The 22308-nt window shown below is 34.5% G+C and overlaps 1 protein-coding gene across 4 annotated transcripts in view; it reads left to right on the forward strand.

Moving 5' to 3' along the window:
- The window catches only part of ITGAV (integrin subunit alpha V), a 90846-nt gene that overhangs the window by 23149 nt on the left and 45389 nt on the right, over positions 1 to 22308 (forward strand). For 2 of the 4 annotated variants that reach the window (NM_002210.5, NM_001144999.3), the window contains exons 3-6: positions 9135 to 9226; positions 12269 to 12383; positions 17593 to 17654; positions 20125 to 20170. In NM_002210.5, the coding sequence (NP_002201.2) occupies positions 9135 to 9226; positions 12269 to 12383; positions 17593 to 17654; positions 20125 to 20170 (315 nt within the window). Of the gene's footprint in view, positions 1 to 9134; positions 9227 to 12268; positions 12384 to 17592; positions 17655 to 17888; positions 17917 to 20124; positions 20171 to 22308 lie in introns of those variants that run through there. The other 2 variants (NM_001145000.3, XM_047444225.1) reach the window with 2 other exon arrangements.

Genomic DNA, 22308 nt, shown 5'->3' on the forward strand with positions numbered 1-22308 from the left:
CTTTCAGGATCATTTCCTTTTCATGGCTAGAAGGAAACAAACCAGCATTGATAAAGCAGTGAGTATTTTCAAAAGGCCTGTATTCTTTGTGCTGCACTCCAGCAGGACCACTGGAATTGCTCATGGAAGAAGAGGGAGATTTTGATTCTTTATTCGCTGTGGTAGTAATAACTAACTAACTCAATGAATACCAATCCCAGTGAAATGAGCTTCATTCCTGTTTTCCTCTGGTTCTGCTTTTCTGACTCTTTTTGTTTATTTTTGGGAAACAGCTGTATCTTATTTTATGTAAAAGATGTTTCTGGATAGTTCTATATAAATTAATAACACTTTTGCATGTCCATGGATTATGGTTGCAGAACTTATTTTTGTATATATAAATGATTTATTTTTCAAATACTTTGGATTTAGGGAACTTGGTCTCTTGGCCATTTTAAGTCAATACAGGTAAGTTTCAAGAGACATCTGAAGACACTTTGGAAGTTTATAAAGCAAATTGTCCTTTCGTTAATAGTACTAGTTCTAATATCTTACCACTACTTATTATTTGTCAGAGTTTCTTAAATCAATTAACAAACTGTATTTCCTTACTAAGTCAACGAAATCATTAACCACCAGTTTAGTCTTCAGGAGTATCTAGAATTTTTATTTTTTAATTAGTTATTTTATGCAATATTCTACTCTAATAGTTTAATTCTATAACATAGAATAGAGGTTCCTAGGAAGGTCAGTGCTTAAAAAAAGAAGGAAGAGGTTCCTAGGAACGCTAATGCTTAAAGAAAGAAGAGCTTGTGTGATTAAAATTTTTTCTTGAATTTTATGAACTAAAACTCCTTTACATGTAAGAGATGAAAATGTAAACAAAGTTAATTAAGAGGGGATGTGGGAGCTTCAAACTAAGCTTTTGTATATGAGGATTGAAGGATATTTATCCACACTACTTTTTAAAAAACCTTTAAAACATTTTATAAATAATGCATGTCCATTGATGAAAATATGAGAAAACCAGACCTACTTAAATCTCACCACTCAGGAAACCAAGGGCCATAGGATATACTTTTGTGTGTGTATTTGTGCATGTACCTTATGGCCTGTGTATATTCTCTGTGTGTGTGTGTCTGTGTGTAAATATACAAAATACATAAAGTTATAATTTACTCTGTCTCCTGTTGGACATTCTGTTTGACATGCTTATTAGTCTTAGTTCATATTACAAAAAGTTTTTTTAGTTAATTTTTAAAAATTAAACTTAGAAGTCATAGGAATGTGTGTTTCAAGATTTCTGATACATATTTGCCAAATAGGAAAATACTGACACAAGCAGTCTTTGAACGAAATTTGATACTATCTTCCTTTGCCTGACAGGTGAAACATATATCTTGTTTTAATTTACATTTCTGTCATTTCTGGTAAGCTTGAGTCTTTTTTCATATGCTTATTAGCTCTTTCTGGGTTTTTAAATTTTGTTTTCTATTATCCGTTTTCATTCTTGATCTATTATATTATTCATTTTTATTCTTGGTCTATTACTCTTCTGACACATCTATTTTTAATTAATTTTGAAAAAGTCATTTTTTATATATATATACATTTCTGTTCAATGCTACAGCTACTTTTTCTCCTGACAAATCTGTCCTTTTTAAAAACAGTTTTATTGAGATATAATTTACCATAACATTGACCTGTTTTAAGTGTACAATTCAATGAATTTTTACTATATTTATAGAGTTTTGTAACTATTACTACAGTCTAATTCCAGAGCATCTCCATTTACCCTAAAAAGAAATGTGTCCAACATCAGTCTCTCCCCATTTGTACCTCCAGCCCTAAGCAGCTATTAATTTACTTTCTGTGTCTACATATTTTTGGTTTTGGATATTTTATATAAACAGAATTATATGATACATAGTCATTCCTATTGTAGCATGTATCAGTGCTACATTCCATTTTTATTGCCTAACAGTATTCAACGGAATGAATAAACATTTTGTTTATACCAGTAGATGCACATTTGAGTGTTTTCTGCTTCTTGGCTATTATGAATAATGCTACTATGAACATTCATGTGCAAATCTTTGTGGGGACATATGTTTTCCTTTCTCTTGTATAGATGTCTAGGAGTGGAATTGCTGCGTCATATGGTAATCTATATTTACCTTTTTTAAAAACTGTCAAACTATTTTCAAAAGTGGCTGTACCATTTTACATTTCTATTAGTAATGTATGAGGGTTTCAGTGTCTCCGTATCCTTGTGGACACTCATATTCTGTCTTTTTTATATTATAATAACCATCCTAATGAGTGTGAAGCCATATTTTATTGTGGTTTTGATTTGCATTTACCCGATGATGAATAATGTTGAACATCTTTTCTTGTGCTTACTGGCTGTTATTTCTTCTTTGGAGAAACATCTATTCAAATTCTTTGCTCATTTTTCATTTGGTTGTTTGTCTTACTGAGTTGTAGGAGTTTTTCGTTTTTTTTTTCATATTATTTAGGATACAAGTTTTTAATCCAGTATTTGATAAGCAAGTAATTTCCCCAGTTTTGAGGGTTGTCTTTCCACTTTTTAAATGGTGTTTTTGTAGCACAAAAGTTTTTAATTTTAATTGGCTAATATATCTACTCTTTTATCATTATGCTTTTGGTTTTCTAAATCATTGCCTAACCCAAGTTCATGAAGATTTATTTCCTTGTTTTCTTTTAAGAGTTTTATAGTTTTAGCTCTTACGTGTAAAAATGTCTGTGATCTATTTTGAGTTAATTTTCTGGTACAGTTTGAGGTATGGTTCCAAATTATTTTTTTTGCATATGGGTATCTAGTTGTCCCAGCATCATTTGTTGAAAAGACTATTTCTTTGCCACTGAATTTGCTTGGCATCTTTGTCAAAAATCAGTTGACTGTGAATGTACAGGTGCCTTTGATGTTAAAATGTACTGTTTATGTACTACTAAAAATACTAAAAGTGTCACCATTATAAATATATCACTGTTGACTATTGTACACATTCAGATTTTAGGCATACTAATATCTGAATATTTGCAGCTCTGAGTCAATGATATACCTTATTTTTTTTTTTTTTTTTTTTTTTGAGACGGAGTCTCGCTCTGTCGCCCAGGCTGGAGTGCAGTGGCACGATCTCGGCTCACTGCAAGCTCCGCCTCCCGGGTTCACGCCATTCTCCTGCCTCAGCCTCCCAAGCAGCTGGGACTACAGGCGCCCGCCAGCACGCCCGGCTAATTTTTTGCATTTTTAGTAGAGACGGGGTTTCACCGTGTTAGCCAGGATGGTCTCGATCTCCTGACCTCGTGATCCGCCCGCCTCGGCCTCCCAAAGTGCTGGGATTACAGGCGCGAGCCACCGCGCCCGGCCGATATACCTTATTTCAAAATAGCATTGGGTTACAAATAAATGCATGATAACAGTAGTTGTCTGACCTCCAAATCATTTTCTCTCAAATTTCCCTTATAGTATTTATTGCTCTCTGAAAATATTTTATATAATTATATATTACTTTTCTCCTTGAAAAGCAAGGACTTATCTGTCTCGTTTAATGCTATATTACTAGCATATAGACATAGGAGGTACCCATGATTTATGATTTATTTAAATAAATTAATGGATAATCTAAGATATTTCTTCCACTAACCTGTCCATTTTTACCTAATAAATAAGCATACTTTATTGGATATTTTTTTTCAAGCAAATTTGTTATAGGAAGTACAACTAAACAAGTGATGTTTGAAGTAAAAAGCTGCTTAAGAAAGTCTGTGAATTGTCTATGAATGCAGGGTGGTATTGTTTTGATAGACATTTTTTCTTTCTTTTTTTGTTTTTTTTTTTAGCAAAAAGTAAGTTAAGGACCTGAATTATTTCATTATTCATAAAAGTCATAGTGATAAATAGGAACCAAGTGACTAAAACCACATTTAGCTTCAAAATGGAAGTTTACTCTCTTGCTTTTCTAATGATTTAGCATTCTTGTTCACTTTGGCCATTTCACAAAAAGGTGACATAATCTTGTTCCAAGGGATATTCTTTTGGCATGAAAAGAAGAAACAAAACATTTTGCTTAGGGTAAGAAGGTAATTGTATCTTAAAAATAAGCACTGCCCATAATTGTCCAGCAAGTTGAGTGCCAAATGTGTTGACAATGCCTTTGGAAACACCGGGGAAAAGAGTTGGCTGCTAATAAGGAGTAGAGTCGAAAGCTACGACAATCCGGTTTTCTCATTTGCTTCTGTCCTCAAGCATGCAGTCATGGGAGTTTGATAAAATGCAAATGACAAGTTTCCAAACCTGGCAAAATAAACATGAAATTTTCAAGTCTCTAGTGATTTACTTGCTTATTAACTTCAAGTTTCTCTAGCAAAGTTTTCCTCTGTATTTTTGAAAGTGGTAGCATAGAGCCTTATGTTAATTTATATAATACAGAGCAATTTCTTCTCAACTTTATTAGAGAAAGAGATTTAAAGATTATGAAATAAAATAATATTTAAGATTTAAGTTATTTAAATACTTTATTTCGATAATTAAATAAAATTATTTTATTGTGTGAGATACTCTTTTTTTCTTTTTTATTTATCTGGGTGAACAGAGCTAATCTTCCAATGGGGTTTGTGACTATGGACAGAAATCTTTCTATTCTTGGCTGTTGCCGGAGAAAGCATTTCTTCCAGCCCTTGAGTTTCTGCAGTTGTCTGTGTCCTGTTTCCTTTTCAAGTGTGTCAGCATAGTCCAGGCTATCTGAGGAGGTCCAACATCATCCTAAATGCTGACTTCAGGGCTGTGATTCAAAATATTTACTTCACTCATGTGCCTCAGGATAGCTGCCAGTTTCACCCAGGTCATGAATGAACTTCTTGTCAGTTTGTCTGGAGAGCAGGCTTTCTTTTGCATTCTCTTCACCCAGTCTATTTACACTTCCTCTGGGTGAAACTTCTATGTAATGTTGAATCAAAGATTTTAAGACTTGGTCTCCAAAAAAACAATTTTGATTAGTAAAGACAAACTTCCTAATGAGCAAACTTCTTAAAAAGATGGTAACATGAGGTTGTAACTCTGTTGCAGGTGAAGGCATTGAAAGCACTGGATGATGTTATTCTTTTTGAAGACCATTGACTAAGTTTTGGGTGCCAATATACGCCAATGCATTATATCCAGTTATACTGGACTACTTTGGTTTCCAAAAAGATATGTCAAATTTGTACTGATTTTGCATGAATTTTCTAGCTTAAGCTAACCCTGATGTCCACAAAGACAGATATCCATAACTGTTAAGGCAAGGGATGTTTTTGATACTTTTTTAAAGAAATAGGAAACAGAACATGGTAGCTTTGCAAGCCTATGCTGCTTGACAGTGCCCAGCAGCATGTTGTGCCACCGTATACAAATTTAAAGAAAAGTAACGTTTGTTAAGAAAAACATTCATGGAGGTAAATTTTCAAAGTGGTACGGAGAGATTGGATAACCTTTCACAAAGAAGAAATTTCACTTTTCAGGAATATAATAATTGAGAAAAAATGCTTAGCATAGAAGGCAACTCAAAAATCCCATCAAGCCCAGTCTTAGCATGGCATAAAAGCTCTTGACAAAAGTGGGAATGTAAATTAATACAGCTACTATGGAGTACAGTACGGAGGTTCCTCCAAAACTACAAATGGAACTACCATATGATCTGGCAATCCCACTACTAGGCATTTATCCAAAGGAAAGGAAATCAGTATATCAAAGAGACATCTGTGTCCCCATATTTATTGGAACACTATTCACAATCACCAAGATATGGAATCAGTTCAGGTGTCTAACAACAGATGAATGGATAAAGAAAACATGGTGTGTGTATATGTATGTATGTGTATATATATATATGTACATGCATTATATACATTATATATAGTATATTTTATATATATATATATATTTAGTGTGTACATATATTCCTGTCTCCTGTCTGTGTTCAGGAATATGTATACACACTGGAAAAATGTGGTGTGTGTACGTGTCTGTGTTCAGCCATAAAAAGAATGAAGTCCTGTCATTTATGGCAACACGGATGGAACTGGAGGATATTATGTTAAGTGAAATAAGCCAGGAACAGAAAATTAAACACTGCATGTTTTCAGTCATAGGTGGAAGCTAAGAAAAAGTTGATGTCATAGAAGTAAAATGTAGAAGATACTAGAGGCTGGGAAAGGTAGGGAGAATGGGAAAATAGAGATTTGTTTAAAGACACAAAATTACAGCTAGACAGGAGGAGTAAGTTCTAGTGTTTTCTACCACTGTAGGGTTATTATAGTTAAAAATAATGTATTGTCTAATTTCAAATAGGTAGAAGGAAGGAATCGAATGTTCCCAACACAAAAAAACGTGCTAAATGTTCAAGGTGATGAACGTGCTTATTACCCTGACCTGATAAGTATACATTATATGTATTGAAACATCCCTATGTACCCCATGAATATGTAAAATTATTATATTTCAATTAAGAAAAAAGGGCTCTTGGCCAGGCAGGGTGGCCCACACCTGTAATCCCAGCACTTTGGGAGGCTGAGGTGGGCAGATCACCTGAGGTCACGAGTTCAAGACCAGCCTGGCCAACATGGTGAAACCCTGTCTCTACTGAAAGTACAAAAAATTAGCTGGGCGTGGTGGCGTGTGCCTGTAATCCCAGCTACTTGGGAGGCTGAGGCAGGAGAATCGCTTGAACTCGGGAGGTGGAGGTTGCAGTGAGCTGAGATCGCGCCACTGTACTCCAGCCTGGGCGACAGAGCAAGACTCCATCTCAAAAAAAAAAGAAAAAGAAAAGAAAAGGCTCTTGATAACCACTCCCTTCCTGACCATTCTCTCTAGTTATAGTGAACAACTCACAATTCTCTTAAAAAATTCAAGATTACCCACTCTTCTGCCTCTTTGCACAAGGTTTTCTTTTGGCCCAGAAAACATTTCCTCACTTGTACTGTACCCTTACTTTCCTATAACTCTTTACGGGTGCCTATACTATTTTCCACCATAATTGCTTGTTCCTATGATTATCTCTTGTGTTAGAGAAATGTTCCCATAAGAGGCAGACTACCATTTCATCATGGGTTAGCATCATGAACAGACAAACACACCTGAATTTTCAGTTAGGATTTGAATCCAGAGTGGAGGGAATAAAGTTTCCGGGCAAGAGGACCTTGGACACAAATGCCTGCAGGTGGAAATAAGCATGACTTGTTTCAGAGACTAGGGACGAAGGATAAGAGAACTCTTCCGCATAAAAATAAGTATATCAGCCAGGCATGGTGGCTTACACCTGTAATCTCAGCACTTTGGGAAGCTGAGGCAGGTTGATCCCTTGAGCTCAGGAGGTCAAGACTAGCCTGGACAACATGATGAAACCCTGTTTCTACAGAAAATACAAAAATTAGCCAGGCATGGTGGCATGCATCTGTAGACCCAGCTACTGTGGCGGCTGAAGTGGGAGGATCGCTTCAGTATAGGAGGTTGAGGCCACAGTGAGCTGTGATCACACTACTGCCCTCCAAAAATAGAAATATTCCTAAATTTGAAATTGAGGGAGATGTAGGGGATTGATTAAATAAAGTATTCTATGGCTGTATAATGGGATACTACACAACAATGAAAATGATACTATAGGTCTGCCTTTATAAGTGCCATATTAAGGGAGAAAAACGTACATATATTTATAAAATGATAATTTTAATGTTATCTTAAATATTGACTTAATATCAATTTTACATATAAAAAACATGCATGTATTCATGAAACAAGTCTTTAGGATAGATACTAATGTGTTAACAGAGGTCATTTCTTTATGGTGGGGTTGTGGTATTTAGATCTGTCTTTATGGCTTTGTTTTATGTTTTGGTTTGTTTTGTAATGAATAAGACATCTATAATTAGAGTAAATACAATAAAGTGTTAAAAGGGTAAGAAGGTACCATTGGTCTTGTACATATATTTTGTACTTATTGATTGCTGTGTCTTAAAAATTATTGTGAAAATTTTCAAACTTATAGAAAATTTCAATTTCAGTAATACAATGAACAACGAACAACACACTTGTTCACCTAGCTTCACCCATTGTTGCAGACATTGTTACACTTATCCCTAAATACTTGAGCATGTATCTCCTAAAAACTAGGACATTTTCTTATGTAAGTACAATATAGTCATCACATGTTAGAAATGAATCATTATTATGAAGAATATTAACAGTAACAATGTAATTATTGCTGAATTAAACATTATTACTGTTACCTACTCTAGTTCACAATTCAAATTTCCACATTTATCCCAATAAAGTCCTTTGTAACTTTGAAAAAAAATTGTCTGGACATAAAATTCAATCAAAGATCACATCTTGCATTCGGTCGACATGTCTTAGTGGTCTCTTTTAATCTAGAAGTGTTTCCTACTCTTTTTGTCTTTCATGATATTGACAATTTTGAGGACTCTATCCCAGGTGTCCTGTAGGCAAGTAAACTTATATTGGTAAGAATATAGTGATGTTCGATCTATCCCAATGCATCATTTTGTTTTTGACACTGGAATTTTAGTGTACAGAAATAATTTTCTCAATAGTGAGGGCTGAAGTAATAAAAATAAATGTTTGATTGTAGTGTGCCGTATTGAATTCTTTTTTCTACCAACCAAATCAAGTTTCCTGGATTCTAATTCTTGCATTGTTATGTCTTAGGCACACGTCTCAGTCTTGTCTTTTATAGCATTTTACACAAAGGTGTTTCATAGCATTTAATTTTCATAATTATCTTTATGCCCCACCGAAAGATCTTCTGGGAATAGGCGATCATACGTATTTGTTTAATAGTTAATTATCTAACAGTTGAGCAACTGGAAAACTTTATTTACAATTGCTTTTTCAATCATGTGTATTATGATAATGGGGCTAATAATAACACTGAGACACTTCTGGGTCATCATGTATCCTATGTTTCTGATTACTTGAAAGTCTCTAATGTATATAAACTGTATATGAGAAAAATAACCAGTGGAATATTTGATTAATCAAAGGTGTACTATTTCTCAACCTAGCTGGGGATAAAAATAAACTGTTATATTAAGAATAGTATATTTTGTGTCTTACCACTCACAATATTCTTTTTTAGGCAATAGAGATTATGCCAAGGATGATCCATTGGAATTTAAGTCCCATCAGTGGTTTGGAGCATCTGTGAGGTCGAAACAGGATAAAATTTTGGTGAGTCTTCTGGATATTTACTTACAGGTGATTTTAGTCAGTTTATGTGGAGACACAGAAGGTTTTATATTTTCAGGCTGATAGTAAAATTCAGTATGCTCAAGGGCACAGGGTATAACAACATAAGATAGCTCTGATCAAAGGCCACTCTGTCCAAGGAGGCCATCTCTCTTGCCCTTCTTGAACAGGCTTTCACATTTTTTCACCCTTATTCCTACTTTGTTTTACCTGCCCCACTTGACAGTTCCTATCAGTTTATTTCCACCTAGCCAAGTATAGGAATAGTGTGGCTTTGGCTAACAAGTGCTTTAATACTTCCTCTCTCTCTCTCTCTTTTTTTTTCTTTCCCTGAGACGGAGTCTTGCTCTGTCACCCAGGCTGGAGTGCAGTGGTGCGATCTCGGCTGACTGCAACCTCCGCCTCCCAGGGTCAAGCAATTCTCCTGCTGCAGCCTCCCGAGTAGCTGGGATTACAGGCACCTGCCACCAGGCCTGGCTAATTTTTGTAGTTTTTAGTAGAGACAGGGTTTCGCCATGTTGGCCAGGCTGGTCTCTAACTCCTGACCTCAGGTGAGCCACCGAGCCTGGCCACTTCCTCTCTTTGAAAATACGACACGATGTTGAAGTGGAATACAGAACAAAGAAAAAAAAATAACAACCTTCCTTCACCTCATCTCCCCCTATGCCACTGTCCATTCCTCTGCTCCTCTTCTCAGTTTCTGAAATGTTTTCTATGGTAACCATCGTAGTTCTTTACTTCACATTCCCTTTCCTATGTCATCATTGACTTTCAGGTCACTGAAATCCACTAGCATTTATACATATGTGCATACATACACACCATTATGTTTTGTTTTCTCTGCTGGTATTTATTTTTATCTTTCTTGCACTGTCAGCATTATTCAGAATGGTCAACATCCCTTTTTTTTTTAGAACTAAATTTTTCTTCTCTTGGTTTCTGTGAACTGTATTTTCCTGGTTTTTCTCCTATCTTACTGGCTGCTCTTTTGTAGTCTCCTTTAATGGCTGCTCTTAACGTTCAGTTTCCAAATATTGGGGTATCCTTGATCTCTATTTAGCTTCCTTTGCTTCCTCTAACTACAACTTTTACCTAGAGGTTCCTAGCCTAACCCATGGCTGTAAGTATAATCCCCAAATCTATACCTCTAGCTTTTAATTCTCCCTGGATCCTTAAAGGCATATTTCCAGGCTACCTATTTGGCTTCCAAATGAACATGGCCAAAATAGGACTCTTGTTTCCTTCCATCAAAGAAGAAAAACAAATAAAAAACTATTATTATATATATTTCCCAATTTTTTAGGAGGCCTGGGTTTCCACCCTATTCACTAGTGAGCACTCACAATCTGCCTCAAAAATATATCTCAACATTTATCAGTAGATCTACATGTCCGCTATTTCTACCCTGCAACAAGCCACCATCATTACCCCCTTGGACCACTGCAACGGCTCTTCTCATCCTGCTGCTGCTTCTCTTACCCTAACTGCAAGAAGGACCAGAGTGAACCAGAGCATTTTACCTTCTTGATTAAAACAGTCAAGTGGCTTTCTGTCACTCTCTGCATAAGTATGACAAGCTCATACTGCCTTAAAAACATCTCCAAAAACAAGTCACTGGCTATGTCTTTGGCCTCCTCTCACTCCATCTCACATACTAAAGCCAGGCTTATCTTTATTTCTTATACATTCCAAATTATTTCAGTTAGTACCTTAGTGTTTGTGTTTCCTCTGCTTGTATAAGTTGTCTTTATGATTTCTACTTGGCTAGCCCTTTGTCATTCAGATTTCAGCTGTCACTCAGATTTCAGAGACTGCTCCGCCTATTTTAATTATTTACGTAGTATTTATTGTTGCCTTTATTTTTTCATCTAATTATGCTGCATAGGGAAGGATTTGCTTAGGAGGTGAAGTTTTAGCAGACTTTAAAGGATGTGCCACATTTCAGCAATTGGAGGTGAAGGATGGGGTTAAGAGTGGGGATGTTCTAGGCAGAAGGAGGTGCAAAGAAGCAGGAGTAAGGAAAAGGAGCAAGCCACCCACTCTGGAGCGTCAAGTACGTGTAGAGAAGTAGCTGCTATGACCTACTTTCACTGTTTTCAGGGTATATATACAATAAGTCAGTATTGATGTTCTGCAGTGCTTATGTTAGCACTTTGCTTCAAAAAGTATTATAGAAAATCAATTAAACCTTTTTCACTAAATGAATTGTTACACATTTGGTAGATTACTATGTTGTTAAAGCATTCATTACTCTACTGCTCTATGTGGTATTACAGTCTAGAATGCTGAAAACAAAAAGGTCATGGTTTATTTGGAAAGTAAATAAAATAAGTACTGCGCATTATTTTACTCTCTTAATAAACTATTTGCTGTATAATTTAGGGGGTATATTCCATATGCATGAGTGTTACTTAGTTCAAAAGCTAGTTTGGTCTCTACCTTTAGCATAGCATATTACATCAAGAAATATACTACCTGAAATAACAATTTTGCTAACTATTTTGAAAAAAAAAATTGGACTACAAATATGGCCTTCAGAATAATGTGAGAAAAAGACTTCACTTAATATCTTTATTTACCACTATGATAAGAAATTTAAGGTATAGGATAGGTTTGATTAATTTCTATGAATGCTTTGAAAGTTGGCCAGGTGTGGTAGGTATGGTGGCTCACAATTAGCGCTTTGGGAGGCTGAGGCAGGAGGATTGCTTGAGTTCAGTTAGAGACCAGCCTGGGAAACATAGTGAGACCCCGTTTCTATAAAAAAATTTTTAAAAATTAGCCAGGCATGGTGGCATGCGCATGTGGTGCCAGCTACTCAAGAGGGTAAGGCCAATTATTTGAGCTCAGGAGTTCAAGGCTGCAGTGAGCCATGATCACGTCACTGCACTCCAGCCTGGGCAACAGACTGAGACCCCATCTCAAAAAAGAGAAAGTGGTATTATATTCTGAAGTAGTATAGAGCATCTGAAACACTAAATTTTTAGAAAATCTTCGTGTCGTGGACTAAACCTTTGATTTTAGGCCTGTGCCCCATTGTACCATTGGAGAACTGAGATGAAACAGGAGCGAGAGCCTGTTGGAACATGCTTTCTTCAAGATGGAACAAAGACTGTTGAGTATGCTCCATGTAGATCACGTATGTATAGGATATTGTACCAGCTTTTAAGAAGAGGGGTGGGAAGCCTAGTTTGTTAAAAATATGTGTGTGTGGGTGTGTGTGTGTGTGTGAGAGAGAGAGATATTAAAAGATATAGACATATTATGATGATAACAAAATGAAAACAATCCTACTAATGTAAAGATATTACAAATGTGAAGTAAACAGGTTTACTTTTTCTAAGAACTCATTTTCATCTTCCTTCGTTAGTATAATAATAGTTACTACCTGATTTTAAGAATCTGTATTTTTGATGACTAACAGTCAAAAGATGCTTAGTTGAACTTCTCTTAACAGAGAAGATGTAGACCCCACAACTAAAGATTCTGATTCAGTAGGTCTAGGTCAGGCCTGGGTACCTGCACTTTTAACAGACTCTACAAGGCAATTCTGATAGATACCAAAGTTTGAGAACTCCTGCTTTATATTAATAATGATGTTGAAAATAAAGAATATTATGTCTTAAAGAGCCAAAGTTTATATAGGAAGATGAACATTGAACTCAGGAGTCTTGACTCTGAATTTTCCTGCTCTTAATCAGAATTTCTTTGTTAACCTGCTACCAAGCCCACCCCTTTTTGGTGATCCAGAGGATTTTATGCTCTTTGCTAATATTACTTGAAATTTCAAAAGGAATTAATATCATGGCTAAAGATGACTTCAAGCAATTATAATTTTGATTATGCTTTTCCAAAATCTCTACATCCTCTTCTCTTTGGAGATTCCAGTCCTTTTGTGCCCCGCTACCCTTTGTTGAATTGGCTACTGCTTTAGATCTTCCTTGTACCAGAAGCATAAAAATAGGTTACTGAAATGCAGTATAGTGTTTATGCCTAGAGCCCTTAGGCCATTATTTTTTGTGTTCCACTGGTCACCACATAGTTTATTAGAGAAAATTAGTAACAAAAGCACAACATGTAAGACTCTTACTCCTACATTTGTTTTGTCCATGTTAGGTGACCTGTGACACCAGGTCAAAGGAACTATTCTGTCCTCCAGATTCTAAGTAGTTGAACCTACAGGAAACTGCAGATTATTTCAATAAACACTTATTTTCTTAGCCCAACACTTTGATCCTACCTGTTATAAGTGGGAAGTGAACATTAAAAGAGTGATACCTACTCAGATCTGTATTGTGTGTTAGGAAAGAGAAAAAATCAGGTTAGAAAGCATACACTGCACAGGATGAGGGAAATTGAGGCTTTATCCTCAGTGCTTGGATGCCATCTGTACTGCCATCTTTATGTTGGTATTTTGGTTATGGTACTGTCATCTTCGGTGGTATGTAGAGAATCTGAAGATTAAATTTGTATTTTTAATTTCTATATTGCAAAAATGTTCCTATTTGAAAAGATAATTTTATAGCTACGAAGAATGAGTTAACCCTTGTTTGCCAAGTTTGTTACTTATTAATTATATGATGTACACACACACGCAGTACACTCTTATTTTCATTTGATGCATGTGGGAACTGAGGTTCACATAGTTGAAGCAATCTTATTTCCACATCTCATGGGGTTGAGAGTGGGGATATTCTAGGCAGAAAGAGGTGCAAGAAAGCAGGAGTAAGCAAAAGGAGCAAGCCACCCACTCTGGAGCATCAAGTACGTGTAGAGAAGTAGCTGCTATGACCTACTTTCACTGTTTTCAGGATACATATAGAGTAAGTCAGTGTTGATGTTCTGAATGGTCAAATGAGGATTTAAACCCAAGTTGTTCTATTCCAAAAGAACCTTTCCTCTACATTATTCACAATAGAAAATGTTTTCCATTTCAGTTGCTTCTGTATTAAGCACAGCTTTTCTACAAAGAATACCTCCTGCTTTCATGACCTAGGTTTGGATAATTCCTGATATGTAAGAATACATGGAACTCTCCTGAAAACATGCGTTCTAACAATGATTCCCTTGTTCACAGAATGCTTTTATTTGGTTTAGGCACAGAAATTATAAAGTCATTTAAAGCCATATTTTCTAAGGTATTTAACATCCAAATCAGGTCAATGAACTGTGGCTTGTGGGCCTCTTTTTGTGAATAAAGTTTTATTGGAATACAGCCACACCCATTTGTTGATGTGTTATCTATAATCATCTAGTACAGTTGTGAGAGTTGAGTTGCCACACTGTGTGGCTCCTGAGCCTAAAATATTTACTGTTCGGCTTTTTACAGAAAAAGTTTGCTGAACCCTAATCTAAATAATAAAACCTCAAATCTTAGGAAAAGCTTAAAGAACAGTCTCAAAAAACAGAAAAGCAAAGTGCATGCCTTTGTTTCTAATAGGCCTGACACTTTCAGTAACCCTTGATTATTGTACATGCTTTTTGATTCAACCTTTGAAATGTTAAGCCACCTATAATAGGCCTAAATTGTGAGGGGCATCTTGTTCAGAGAAGAAGACTCAGGAGCGGAAGTCTGAGAACCTGGGTTATATTCTGACTTTGTGCTGACAATCCACCTATAGCTATGGGTAATTCACCTAACCACTCTGGGCCTTTGTTTCATCATTGGTAAAACACCAATTCACACAAAAAACTTCTGAGGTATAAATTCAGTGTTTTTTATCTGTTTCATACTTCAATAAATTATGCAAACGAATAATTGGTTTTATGAGATGATGTCTGTTTTGTAAGACTACACTGCTAACTTTTTAATAACTTTGCTTGTCTTGTGGGTTATTTTATTTATTTGTTTGCTTTTGAGTTTTTGTTGTTGTTGTTGTTGGTTAGTTAGTTTGGTTAATTGGTTTGTTCTGTTTTTAACCTGACTTATATGGACACCGTGGACAAGGAACTTCACTGTCTGTCACTAACTTACCTTATTACTGATTACATTTGCTTTCAGCTTTTCATAACTGCATGATAAAACCTCAGACCTTAGGAGAAGAGCATAAAAAACAACCTCAAACAACAAAAAAGCAAAATTACTTGGGGAAATTAAGTAACTTGACCGTGGCTAACCAGCTAGTAAATAAGAGAGTATAGACCTGACACCACATGTGTCTACACCACTACACTGCACTATGTCAAATCAACAATATACTTATCATTTCCTGAGTAATGACAAAGGACATTATGCAGTAGACCAGATGTTCTTCTGTTCTAAATTGCCTAGCCACTTTTGTTCCTTCTGTCTGCTTTCTGATGCTAATATTATTTGAACATAGATTTTTCTCAGTAATGATTTCTAGTTGGCTTTTCCTTTCCTTTTGTCATTACTCAGGGAATGATAAAGATATTATTGATTTGAAACAGTACAGTGTAGTGTTATAGACACACCTGGGTTCAGGTCCTACTCTCTTATTTACTAGCTGGTTGGCCATGGTCAAGTTACCTAATTTCCCTAAGCATCAGTTTCCCTATCTGTACAAATTATTGAGTAATAATAGTATCTCTTATAGGATTGGTATAAAGACTTAAAAAGTTAATGTCATGTAAAATGCTTTAGCATAATACCTGACTCAGAGTAAAGGCTTAATAAACCCTAGCTGATCTTACTGTCAGAATCAATAATATTACTATTTGTAATATAATTACCAGACTTAACAAATGGGAGAAGTATTAACCATCTGCAGGAATAAGTACCAGAGCCTGCATCAAAATAGTTTATATTCAACATGAAGTCTTTAAATTGGCAAAAGCACTCAGTTTAATATATACCTGTTAAGAAAATTTTAAGAGACAGTCATGGTTTTTAGCTGGATACTCTGGGAAACCAAATAAAGCAGATAATTGTACAGTATGATAATCAAAAAAAGGATGTCTTTATAAATAGCTTGAAATAGTTCCCCAGATGCAACTTGAATAAAGGAAATAAATAGCCGACTTGCTCTAACTTGAGGTTAGAGCAGAATTCCTTAGTCTGATTCACTGGATGCTGGAAACCCCTGCCCCACATTTTCCCACTCCCTCTTGGTTAGAAAAATTTACATTGGTTTAGCATTATACTCTTGAGGCTATTTTCTTTCAAAAAAAAAAAACTTTAAAAAAATTTAGATATTAAGTGTGTAATCTTTGGGCAGTTTCCAGGCTTTAAAAATGGGTTCAAAATTTCTGATGGGATTATTTAGCAGAAGTTCTTAGAAGTTTGTCCTTGTGACTGAAAACAGATATTTTTGGTTCCTGTATTTGGGTGGCAAACAAAGTAACAGTACAGCTTTAATGTATTTGTAACATTGGCCACAGTGAGTCTTTGATAACTGAAGGATAGTGTTTTCCATTGTTCTCTGTTATCCTCAAAGTAAAATAAGGGGAAAGTGTTCAGATTCATCCTTACATGTGTTCTAGGTACTGTATTGCTCATGATTAAAATTAATTTAAATTAATTGGCTAATTGTTCAGAATTAATCCCTTTCTATGAGAACAACTAAAAAGGGAACAACTACAAAAGAGTACAACTATTGAGCCTACTATGGTTGGAAAATACTTGAAAGTATCATTTAAAGATGGTTACTTTAATTAGATCTCCGTACTAAACGTGGGAGGATAGCTTTATATTTTACTTTTTGAAGAGCATTAAGTTCTGGTCTGTCCATTTCCTGAAATTCTGAGCTATGTTATTCATCTCTGTTGTTGGCTCTATAATGTATGTATCTGTTTGCTGCTATTCATAATAACAAAGGTCTTAGCGAAGACCTAGCAATCTTAGGGTAATAGGAAGACAGAGGAATTTCATATTGGAATTTTTAACTTGCAGATCACAACTTGTTAGTGTTTTATGAAATCAGTGTAGTGGGTCAAAACCACTATAGTTTTTCTAAAAAAAAAAAAGAATGAAATAAAATAGAAAATGTCAGAGAGTATTCTATATAATAATACAAATATTGTTTGGTAAGATTTTAAGTTGTATCTATATATTTTATACACACAATGGGTGTTGGGTTGTGATATAAATTATAATCTTTTTGTGGATTGTGGTTAACTAAAGGGTTTAAAATTTATCATTTTAGTTGGTTTCTTTGTTCTCTGGTGACTGGTTCAGGTATTTAATCTTCGTTTCCGTATCTGAGTAAATGGTGCTGATAAACATGCATACTCTCTTGGAATGTGGTAATAACTAAGTGCCCGAGTGAATGACCACTCTCAAAAATTGGTACATTATCTTATGATTCTAGTGATATCAGATTTTCTCATGTTTTGTTTTGTGTTGTTTGTTTTTGGGTTTGTGTATATTTCCAATCTTTTTATTTTAGAAGATATTGATGCTGATGGACAGGGATTTTGTCAAGGAGGATTCAGCATTGATTTTACTAAAGTAAGTTCTTATTTAAGACTGAATGAGATTCACATCTACCTTATTGACTAGACTGTGGTTAAAAATAAACTGGTCAATACCTCAACTCCTTTACAGCTGTTAGCTCTTTAATGAAAACAGTTAATAAAACGATCCATTCATTTTGACATTCTTTGTCTTATATTATTCCCTCCCTAGTAAACATTGCTTATTTGAAATAGGGAGACATCCCCCATCACTCTGGGAATGGAGGAAAGTAGACACTCTCCTCAGTAAATGATAGGTAACTATTATGACTTAATATTAAAATTTCCAGTTATATGAATTTATAGCATATTAAAGTTTTCTATTTTTAATTAAAGTTGTTTTTCTTACAAAAGCTATCAATGAGAGCTTTATTACAAAATTAGAGTTACATAAAAGCTGGGAAACATGTATGTTTGCCATCTATTATGTGCCTATAGGCACTAAGTGAAGCTGACTTCACTTATGTAATGTGTAATAATTGTAAGAAATCTCATAGGCAGGGCTCTATGTATTTTTAACTAAATTAATATTCTCTTCAGAATTGATATTTTTAATCTATTTTTTGAAAATAAGACTTCCATTTAAATGTTCAAAGGTAAATTTTCTGAAGTACTTTTCTTTATTTACTTTTCTTTTGTGTGTTTATTTATTTTGGTGGTGGGGGAGTATGCACATTTTGAATATCAAATTGAGAATATTCTTTCTAGAGAAGTCTAAAAACTATGTTGATGGATTATATGTAGACCTTCCTTAGAAAGCTTATATGTACGCTTTCTTAGAAATGTGAGCAAAGAGGAGTGCCTTAAATGTATGAAAACAACTGAAATTGAAATAATATGATGCATAAGAACTAATAAAGCATTTTCTTATTTTTTAAAAATTTGTAGGCTGGGTGCAGTGGCTCATGCCTGTAGTCCCAGCACTTTGGGAGGCTGAGGTAGGAGGATCACTGTAGCCCAGGAGACCAGCCTGAGCAACATAGTGGGACACCATCTCTACAAAGAATTAAAAATTAGCCAGGCATGGGTGACATGTGCTTGTGGTCCTAGCTATTCGGGAGGCTAAGGCATGAGGATTGCTTGAACTGCAGTGAGTGAGGCTGCATTGAGCCATGTTCATGCCACTGCATTCCAGCCTGGGCAACAGAGCAAGACCCAGTCTCAATGTTTTTTTAAAAATTTTATTTTATCTGTATTTGTATTTTATTAATTTTTTTTCTAGACTAGGTACTGATAATTATAGTTAACTCTTCTTACTAGGTAACTTGTTTTTAATACTCTAAATTTCATACTATATTACTCAAAATTCAGAATGTAAGCCAAAGAGAGATAAAGTATATTAATAAATGTTAGGTTTAAACTTGTATGATACATTTCCAAATAGGTATTATATATTTTTAAAATATATAATGTCCATCTTTTCTGTATTGATGCCTATACAACCATAACCCCAGAAGTACTCTCATACTGTGAAAGTCATTGCTAAATTAGGTATTCACTTTCTTAAACACATTTCTGAGAAAAGGGTGTCTTTTTAGGGCAGATGACTTAGAAGTTCTTTTACGTAGCCAAGGCAAAAGATTGTCTATTGAAAGCTTGGAAGGGCTATATGTACATTTGGAGGGGAAAAAAAATTTATCTTACCTCCAGCAAGAAGAGATTTCTAAAATATTGTGCTGAAACACAATATACCTAGGATTAGACACTTTTAGATAGTTAAATATAAGAAATGCTAGGCAAGCATAATTTGTATATGTATAATACACCCTGAAAATTTTATTCTCAACTTCACTTCTGTTTAGATCTGAGACACTAAAAATATTTCCTTTAGCAGAAAATTCTTCAATGATTATAGAAAGAAAATTTGCTGTATAGTCACAAATTTAATATACAAAATTAAGAAGTGCCTTAAAAAAATTGTAACCTGATAATACTTCGCATTAGTCCTCATTTCAAATATGTGAAGCAGCCAAGATCCACAAAAGTGTGTATTTTCATGTATTGAATGAATATATTAAAATGTTTCTTTTAAATTTTATTTTAGAAAAGATACAGTGAAAACCACTGAAACTGAGTTAGATGAATTTGAGATTTGACTTTGTTTGCTTTAATATATACTAGATAGATAGATAGATAGATACATAGACAGATAGATACATAGACAGACAGACAGATAGATATAAATCTCAGCACTTTAAGAGGCTGAGCTGGGAAGATAGCTTAAAGCCAGGAGTTTGACCAGCTTACCAGCCTGGATAAGGGAAGACTTTGTCTCTACAAAAAAAAAAAAAAGTCTTATTAAATTTTAAAAAATATAATTAACCTGGTAATGATATAAAGATACAATACTGTATTGTTCAGTCATGTATACATATACATATATATCTTATGTTTTTCATTGATTTCTATTTTGAGAGATATTTGTTCTTTAAATATATATCTTTTTGTTGTGTGATTTCATCTAGGCTGACAGAGTACTTCTTGGTGGTCCTGGTAGCTTTTATTGGCAAGGTAGGTTAATATTTTTTAAATTACAATTGGTGACTATGTGTCGCTGATTCACCTGGCTAATTGTATGCCTATGACATTTTACAAATTATTTTAAAGAAAGAAATGGAAATACAATTAAAGTATATAAACACTCCATTTTACACAGTGTTTTTTAAAAGAATATATATAATATATATTAAATATGTGTATATTCCTAGAAGAAAATAAACTGAATATTTAAAAAGTAAATACATACTTTTATGTTAAATATATTTTAAAAGTAATTATATAAAGTAATTTATTTTTATTGTGTGTGATATATACTTCTCCATGTCTGTACTCTAGGGGCCATGACATAGTCATTAGGCAGTGTGCGAAACCAATCTGTATAGGCCAACTGTGGCATTCTAAAAGTTGAAGGTTTTGAAAGTATTTTGAAGTTGCTCATTAGGATATTTAAGTCATTATTTTATTATTACTGATATTGAGAATGATCTCTAAGTGTTTGGGGACTTCTTAAAAATTGAAGCTGGGCATGGTGGCGTGGGCCTGTAATCCCAGCTACTCGGGAGGTTGAGGCAGGAGAATCACTTGAACCCAGGAGGAGGAAGTTGTAGTGAGCCAAGATCATACGACTGTACTCCAGTCTGGGTAGCAGAGTGACACTCTCTCTCAAAAAATATATATAAAATAAAATAAAATTGGAGGATCTTAATAGGTTTTTAAAAAATATTAAACTGGCATTGATATAAAGATGCATTATTATATTATTCAGTCATTCTGGGAGGCCTAATTAAATTACCATTTGAACATATGTACAATAGATTATTGTTGACAGTGTGAATATAGATAACTAAAACTTTATTTGCTTTATGTTTCTTTATGTATCATTAGAGATACACAATTATTTATCTCATCAATATATTGACATGTTTAGTTTCTGCTAAAAAGTGCCATTTATGAGGTGAACTATTTTGTATTAGCATTCTGATATTCAAGCATTGTCAGTGTTTGGAAGAATTAGAAAACCTTTGACTGGATTGATTTGAAAGTTTCAAATTTTACTCTATTTTCTACACTATGCTTTCCTGACTTGCTTCTTTGTAGAAAACATGCTTGCTTTTGCCTTGTGGAGAGGGAAGCTAAAGAAAGAGATTTGCTGGAGGATGACAGGATGGAAGGAGAATAAGAAGAAAAGAAAACTAGGAATAAGTGAAATATTGAAAGGGAAGGCAAAGGAGGGAATAAAAAAATAGAAAATTCAGGCATCACAGACAGGGATCAGAATGTGAGACATAGCAAAGCTGAAAAATTGGAATTTCTATGCATTATACATCTATTGGGAAATAAAATGATTTAGAAAAATTATAATTGAGTTTTACTGTTTTAAAACAAAAATAGCAGTTCTAAAGTACATATGAGAAAATAGGGGATATTAACACTTTATAGTTAGATATAGAAATATGGATTTATTTTTCTTCTTTATTGCTGATTATGTCATTCAGTGGAGGGGAAGGAAGTATCTGATGAGCATGCCTGGGAACCAAAACTGTCAAGGAAGCTAAATTTTGTGATTCTCAGTTAGGACTACTTGTTAACTCTGTCTTTTTAAGAGATACAGCTGTGAAAATGTATGACCTTTTTTTTTAATGCCATGGGTATTGCATAAATAGGAATAATAATAAATAGGAATGTGTAATAATTAGGACACAGTAATAAATTAGGACAGAGAGGTACTATTAATATTATATTTATTAGAATTTTATTACAAGTTGTCTGTAATATATAGCTAGCAGACTCAGTGAATTGGCAAATAGTATTTTGTTTTAATAAGATTAAAATCAGCAGATGTCACCCTGGATAAGTACGTTAGAATGAATTTTTTCACAGATCTCAGAATTGTCGTTGTTAGAATGGAGAAAAGAATAATGTTTTATTCAGAAGAAATAATGAATTTTCCTCTGTTCTTCAATTCAGGAAATGTTTATTGAATTTCATATGTTCTTGGTACCGCTGAAGCCCAGATGATAAAGTAGTGACCTGGACAGAGAAAGTGCTTCTGTGCTGTAGATCCAGTCTCTGTGACTGAACAGATGGGAACAGGACTGAAAATGTTAGCTGTTACACATTTCTTTCTAAAACAGCAGAAATGATAAGAG

Source organism: Homo sapiens, chromosome 2, assembly GCF_000001405.40.
Source record: "Homo sapiens chromosome 2, GRCh38.p14 Primary Assembly".
In the NCBI taxonomy this organism is placed as follows: Eukaryota; Metazoa; Chordata; class Mammalia; order Primates; family Hominidae; genus Homo; species Homo sapiens.